This window comes from Homo sapiens, chromosome 21 (genome assembly GCF_000001405.40).
Source record: "Homo sapiens chromosome 21, GRCh38.p14 Primary Assembly".
In the NCBI taxonomy this organism is placed as follows: Eukaryota; Metazoa; Chordata; class Mammalia; order Primates; family Hominidae; genus Homo; species Homo sapiens.
The window spans coordinates 5,010,001-5,017,158 of NC_000021.9; the positions used below are offsets into that span (position 1 = coordinate 5,010,001).

The following is a 7,158-nucleotide window of genomic DNA, read 5'->3' on the forward strand; positions in this document are numbered from 1 at the left end:
GATCCACCCGCCTTGGCCTCCTAAAGTGCTGGGATTACAGGTGTTAGCCACCACGTCCAGCTGTTAATTTTTATTTAATAAGAATGACAGAGTGAGGGCCATCACTGTTAATGAAGCCAGTGTTGCTCACAGCCTCCCCTTGGTCACTTTTTGTGACTGAAGGGCATGTGTTCAGGCAAGATTGTTGGGTGGCTGTGTTTTGTCTTCTTCCAGCTCGGCCATGGAATAGCCTGTGGGGACCTACTCTGTGGTCCCCAGGGAGCTACTCTGTGGGGGCTGTTTCTGTTCAGCAGGGAAGGCTCTGCCCTTGCTGTTAGCTCCTGGAGGGCTGCGGACGGCACCTGCTGTGTTCACAGATGACAGTTACTTCCCTAGGTAGTCTGCATGTTGGGCCTCCCAGGACTGGTTCTCTAAGGGCAATGTGAGGACAGACAGAAAAACCAAATTCTGCCAAAGTTTTTAAATAGGTTTATTCTGAGCCAATAAGAGTGACCATGGCCTGGGAAATACAGTCTTAAGAGATCCCGAGGAAGTGCACCTGAGGCGGTCAGTTACAATTTGGTTTTATGTATTTATTTATTTTTATTTTATTTATTTATTTATTTGTTTTTGAGACGGAGGCTTGCTCTGTCGCCCAGGCTGGAGTGCAGTGGCGTGATCTCGGCTCACCGCAAGCTCCGCCTCCCGCGTTCCTGCCATTCTCCTGCCTCAGCCTCCCGAGTAGCTGGGACTACAGGCGCCCGCCACCATGCCTGGCTAATTTTTTTATATTTTTAGTAGAGACGGGGTTTCACCGTGTTAGCCAGGATGGTCTCAATCTCCTGACCTCGTGATCCGCCCGCCTCTGCCTCCCAAAGTGCTGGGATTACAGGCGTGAGCCACCACTCCCAGCACAATTGGTTTTGTACATTTCAGGGAGATGCGAACTGCAGGTGGAATCAGAAAACAGTACACGGGCCGGGCGCGGTGGCTCACGCCTGTAATCCCAGCACTTTGAGCTGAGGAGTTCAAGACCAGTTTGAGCAACTTGGTGAAACCCCATCTCTACCAAAAATACAAAAAAGTTGGCTAGTCATGGTGATGTGCACCTGGGGTTGCTCAGGGGGCTGAGGCAGGAGGATTGCTTGAGCCCAGGAGGTAGAGGTTGCAGTGAGCCGAGATCTCGCCATTGCACTACAGCCTGGGTGACAGAGTGAGACCCCATCTCAAAAAATCAATCAATCAATAAATCAATACATAGAAGATGTGCATTGGATCAGCCCCAAAAGGCGAGATATCTTGAAGCTTACAGGTTATAGGTGGGTTTAGGGATTCTTTAGTTGGCAGTTGGTTGAAAGAGTTGAGCTTTGCCTAAAAACTGGGAGTCAGTAGAAAGGAATGCTTGAGTTAAAATAAGGAGGTCTGCTGTCTGTCATGTGGTGCCATGGCAGAGTCACAATATACCAGGTCAAAAACACCCATTCCACAAGCTTTTGTGGTTTGTAAGGCGTGATTCCCCTACGCTCCTTAGAAAGGAATTTGAGCAAGAAAAAATAAAGGCAGAATTCAGTCCCCAAATGCATGGCACAGAGTCTTCACCTCAGACCCGGAGCTTTCTCCTCTGGGCTCCAGGCAGGCAGCCCCTGAGGCTGGTGGTGGCTGTGGATGGCTCTGCCCTAGTGGGCTCCACTCCTCAGCTTGCCCTGGCCTGTGGGCCCTGCGAGCTGAGCAGGGTCTGCCCTGGGGTCATCTCGTGCTGCCGCACGCGACCTTGCCCACTGCTGCTGCCTCTCAGTGCCCACTCCCCTCTGTCCTGCAGGTGGAGGAGTGGGGACCCTTCGATCTTGTGTACGGCGCCACACCTCCCCTGGGCCACACCTGTGACCGTCCTCCCAGTGAGTGATGCTTCAGTTCTGGCAGCCTGTCCCCACCACCCCTGTCTCCTCTCCTCTCTCCTCACACCTCCATGCCAGGGCAGAAACTGCAAATTGTCAGCATTTTTCAAAAACAGCTTTATCGAGGCACCACTGACATACAGTAAGTTGCACGCATTCAGTGTGTCCGACTGGATGAGTTCTGAGCTAGCTCCACACCCATGCACCCCTCATCAGAGTAAGAGAGCAACAGAGTAAGAGTCCCCATCACTGCAGGCTTCCCTGTGCCCCCAAGCCTCCCGCTGACCCCATGCAGCCCCCAGCGTGCCCACATCACTGCAGCTCACGTGTCCTCTGGAGCTTCCTCTAAAAGGCGGTATTTGTGCCGCGGCACGCGCTCTGCGTCAGCTCCTCCCTCGGGGTTGCCTGTCTGTCTCTTCCCCACTCTAGGCCTGCCTGGGGGAGGAGGGGTCCATGCACCTCTGTGGCCCCAGCACTGGGCAGGGCTTCATTGCTGCTGGAGGGACAGGGGCAGGGGGATCCCTCAGACCCAGGCCGGTGCGTCCCCTCGACCCCCTCAGCCCTTCTCTCAAGCCCCAGTTTCCTTAGGCCCCTGCCCAGATGCACCTGAACAGCGTCCCCATGACCAGCCCCCCCGGCCCCCCCTCAGCCCTGCCCCCTCACCCCACTCCAGGCTGGTACCTGTTCCAGTTCCACCGGCTCCTGCAGTACGCACGGCCCAAGCCAGGCAGCCCCAGGCCCTTCTTCTGGATGTTCGTGGACAATCTGGTGCTGAACAAGGAAGACCTGGACGTCGCATCTCGCTTCCTGGAGGTGCGTGCAGGGCTGCGTGGGCCGCCCTCTGACCCCTGCCCACGTGAGGGAGGGGCTTTTCTGGTGGAGCTCAGTCTACACCCCAGGCTCCGGGCCTGGCTCCTTGCGGCCCCTGGTTTCCAGGTGTGTACAGGGCCCAGGAGAGCTGCTGTGCAGTCCGGGCAGGGACTGCGGCCTGGGACACAAAGCCCCTTCAAGGACAGCATGGGAGGGCAGTCCCACCTCGCACCACTCCTGTGCTCACAGAACACGGCCTCGGGGGCTCACCTCCTGCCCCTGCCCCCTCAGTCTCCACCCACACACACGCACATCACACCACACACACAGGTGCACACACACTGCAGTGCACAGTCACTGTACACATGCACCACACACAGGGACACACTTGCCACACACACACAGGCACACTACGTGCACACATACTCACACCACACACATACAGCCTTTTCTTCACACGTCTGAATCCTGATTGTCAGAGCAGCCACTTTTGGACTCAGCGGATGGGTCCCCTCTGGGGCTGATGGGCCGGGTGTTCCAGACACTTCCAGGGTTGGGGAGGGACGGCCACACCTCAGCCACAGGAGACAGGCGTGAGGCTCAGGAGGGGGAATTTCCTCATGCTCTCAGGTTCCATGGAGGGGCCACAGCCAGCGGGGGCCCGACCCACCGAGTGGGCAGCACCTGTGGGCCAGAGCCTTTGCTGGGGGTCCAGGTGGCGTTGAGGTTCCTTTGGTGCTGGAATCTCGTGGAGTGGCTGGAATGCAAATCCAGCTATTCAGAAGGGGAGCAAACGCCATGAGCTGAAAATCACAAAGTCTGTGCTTTTAGAACAGGAGACTTTGTTTCTGTAAAGGGGCACAGCCTGCAAGGTCCCGTCCCCCAGGCTGGGAAGCACGGGGCCTCCACCAAGACCAGAGGAGCCAGGAGGAGGCACTTCGAAGGGGAGGGGTGGCTGGGGCAGGAGCTCCGTGCTGACCGGGTTGGCTAAACCTGTGCGGCAGGTTATGGAGGAGCGGTGAATATTCATGAAGGGGGTCCTGCTGCGTGCGTACTGAACAAAATCCGTGGAACTTACGACCTCTGTTCACTCCGGGGTGGAGTCTTATCATGTCAGTGTGTCGCAATGAGGCCCTAAACCTCAGAGGTCTTCTCAGGACACAGGCCCTCAAGCGCACAACCTCTGTAAACCGGCCGGAGCCAGTCTGTGGTCGGGGTCCCTTATCAGGAGGAGGTTCCTGAAGTCAGTCTCCTGCCCAGTCAGAGCTGTGGTCATGGCTGTGGAACGTGGTCAGTTGGCATCTGCAGGTGGATGAGCTGCAGTCATTTGAACCTTGCTCATCCTCATCGCGGGGCCAGTGCGTGTTTAGCCGCTGCAGAAAAAGCAGCAGCTGTGGCGTGAGGGCAGAGTCCGTCCTCTCAGTGTAGGGCACGCGGCTCGGCTCGACCCTTGCCTGGCGCGGCCTGAGGTCCTGTTTGTAATTTGATATCTTATTGCCACAGAGTCTGTTCTGTCAGTTTAAAATAATTCATCAGCATTTTTCTCCAAAGGTGATTCATAAGAAAAAAGGACGTAGGGAACACAGTCGGGCTAGAAAGTCCATTGACCACTCAGGGCCATTGGCGGCTGAGGCCAGTGGGCCTGTGGGGGGCGCTTACCGTCCAGGTCCCCTGACCCACGGCCGACCCTCCCGCCCCCAGATGGAGCCAGTCACCATCCCAGATGTCCACGGCGGATCCTTGCAGAATGCTGTCCGCGTGTGGAGCAACATCCCAGCCATAAGGAGGTATTTCCTGGGCAGCTGAAAGCGTTCAGGGTCAAGGGGAACATGGACCCAGAAGCGGGGTTCACTGAGGAAATGGGGTCTGTCTAGCAGAGCCAAGCCCAGAGCAGCCTCTGCGCCCCAGTGGGACTGCGGTCGGCCTTCGGGGCCACCCTGAGACCCTGAAGACACCGAAGCCTGAGGATGCCCCTTTCCCCTTGGGGAGCTTCTCCAGCACTGGCTCTCAGCTTCTCGGGGTCCAGCCCCTGGACACCCATATGCGCCATGGCGGCCTGGCCCTGAATCGGCTGCAGCCCCCAGGCTTTCATTCCGTGTGGCCTCCCCACCTCCCTTGCACACCCACAAGCTCATGCGTGCTCACACTCAGCCACACTCACATGACTCACTTGCACGCTCATCCATACGCCTGTGTGCTCATGTATGCACACACACACAGTCATTCCCACGGTCACGCTCATCCACACACCTGTGTGCTCATGCATGCACACACAGTCATCCCCACAGTCACGCTCATCCACACACCCACATGCTCCCTCAGTCACATGCTCACACAAGCACACTCACGACTACCACCTGCATCCACACGTTCACATGTGCTCACAATCACACAGGCACACACGCATCAGTCTCACCCACCCACACGCTTGCACCCCCTGCGGTGCACTCCTGGGCTGCCCTCCCCACCTTTTGGGGCCTTGAACACATGGCCTTTCCCCACGTGCCCTCTCTGCGGCTAAGCACCCCCTTCTGCTGCCCCCACAGCCTCTCCCAGCTGCCCCCGCCCCTCAACAGCCTTTCCAGGCGGCCCAGACCTCACGACCTCCAGCCAACCGCCCATCCATCCCCTCACTCCCACACTCGCCTGGCGTGCCTCGCTCATACGTGCATTCGTGTGGAACGAGCGCTTTCTGGCTCAGCTGAGTCATGATCTCCTCCTGCCTGAGAGTGAGTTCTGGAAACTTACTCCCTCTCACCTCCCCGGTTCCAGCATCTCCCACGTCACCACCGAGGCACGATCCTGTTGCCTGGCACCTGCCAAGGCATGGCACCTGCAGGTCTTGCTGGCCTGGCTTCCCCTGGATTTGAGTTTGGGTGGGGCTGAGCCGAAGCACTTTTCCAGCATGCTTTCTCTTCAGAAGCCCTCTCACCTGCATGCCAGCCTTCGCACAGCCTCCCCCTAACCCTAAGCCTGTTCCCCGCCATGTCACTTCCTGGGAGGCCATGCCAGGCTCTGTGGGGCTGGGTGAGCGGGGGTGAAGGTGGGGGCAGACCCAGCAACACCTGTGTGCATTACAGGCCATGCCTCACCTGCTGCCTGGCCCCAGAGGCTCCTTGGCCCCCGGAGGCTCTATGCGTCCACACAGCAGTGAGAACAGCGCCCCATCAGGGTTCTTAAGTGGCAGGTGCAGCCAGACCCAGGGTTGCTGCTCCACAAAAGGCACCTCCCTCTGCTCCAGTGGCCACACTTGTGGCCCCTGCAGGCTTGGGCTGTGGGCTGGCAGCTGCTTCTTCCCAGCCCCCCTTTCTGAGCGAGGCTCCACAGAGCTCCTCACAGGGTTTCGAGGGCTGGATCCACCTGAGCCGTGATCCTGGGGTCACCTGGTTCCCAGAAGGAGGCTGGCAGTTCCTTCCCACAGGTTTCCCTCCCAGGCTCCTGGGTGTCTCAACAGTGACATGAGAGACACCCACTCACTGAAAGGAGAAATCCTTTTGCAGAGGTAGCCACCATCACCCCCAGGATGGTTAAGGACAGTCCCCACTGCCCTAGGGAGGGTGCCTGAGGAGGAGGAGGAGGAGGGGGACACTGTATCTGGCACTTCACTCGCAGTCTTCACCCCAAAATAAACTGAGAAATGTTCCTGGCCTCCAGTGGGGTGGCTGGGAGCAGGAGAGGGGGTGTTGGTGCCAAGTCTGCAAAGCCCGTCTTCCTCAAGGGCTCCTCACAGCAGGCTGGCAGGGGACCTTTCCTCTCACCACCTGCCCTCCTGCACCCAGGGCTGGGGCTCCCGGCACAGGCAGCCCCAGGAACCCAGGGGACGGCCTTTGTGATAGAATTCCCTGGGAATGCTCGCTGACTCTGCGAGGGTTTGGCCAACTTTTGCCCAGAGTCCTGTCCTTTCCTCTGCGGGGGTGCTGCCCAGGGATGGTGACATCCTCTAGCGATGGCCCTGGAGCTCGCTGTTCACACGGAGTGACCCCCAGCCTGCTTCCCAGGGGACCAGCCCCCGGCCGGGGGAGGCGGGAGGCAAGGGAGTCATCTGGTCCCCTGTTGCTCACTCCACCTCCATGAGAAAAACTCCCAGAATCAGGCGGGGGTTCCGGGGGGGGGGTCTTAGGCACCTGGGACAACTGAGAGGCAGGCTGTTCCCCTCGCCCCCTCGCAGCGATTCCTTCCCAGCCCCATCTCCGGGGCCACCCAGTGGGCGCTGCGCTTGCTCACAACCTTCCCTCCCCTCCTCTCAGCAGCAGGCACTGGGCTCTGGTTTCGGAAGAAGAATTGTCCCTGCTGGCCCAGAACAAGCAGAGCTCGAAGCTCGCGGCCAAGTGGCCCACCAAGCTGGTGAAGAACTGCTTTCTCCCCCTAAGAGAATATTTCAAGTATTTTTCAACAGAACTCACTTCCTCTTTATAAATGAGTCACTATACTGTGAAGAAAAAGACTTTTCCTAGAACAAAGGCAACTTTCCTCA

General features: G+C 58.2%; 1 protein-coding gene and 1 long non-coding RNA gene across 3 annotated transcripts, besides 1 other annotated feature; one reads left to right on the forward strand and one right to left on the reverse strand.

Annotated features, from left to right (window-relative positions):
• Positions 1 to 7,158: part of a sequence alteration artifact (region identified as an assembly artifact by the Genome Reference Consortium. This region falsely duplicates sequence located at GRCh38 chr21:44095806-44253496) that runs on past the window's edge.
• LOC105379484 (uncharacterized) lies at positions 454 to 3,683 on the reverse strand. Its single transcript, XR_951076.3, has 2 exons — positions 2,556 to 3,683; positions 454 to 2,370 (listed from the first exon to the last, which is right to left on the reverse strand). It is a non-coding gene; the product is annotated as an uncharacterized LOC105379484 (long non-coding RNA).
• On the forward strand, positions 2,364 to 7,158 carry LOC124905051 (DNA (cytosine-5)-methyltransferase 3-like). 2 transcript variants are annotated; one of them, XM_047441064.1, is made up of 3 exons: positions 2,364 to 2,687; positions 4,386 to 4,471; positions 6,932 to 7,158. In XM_047441064.1, exons 1-3 carry the CDS (start codon positions 2,475 to 2,477, stop codon positions 7,098 to 7,100), a joined length of 468 nt encoding a protein of 155 aa, XP_047297020.1. In that variant the 5' UTR covers positions 2,364 to 2,474; the 3' UTR covers positions 7,101 to 7,158. The 2 variants fall into 2 exon arrangements, with proteins under 2 accessions (XP_047297020.1, XP_047297021.1); XM_047441065.1 differs by having other exon boundaries at positions 6,935 to 7,158.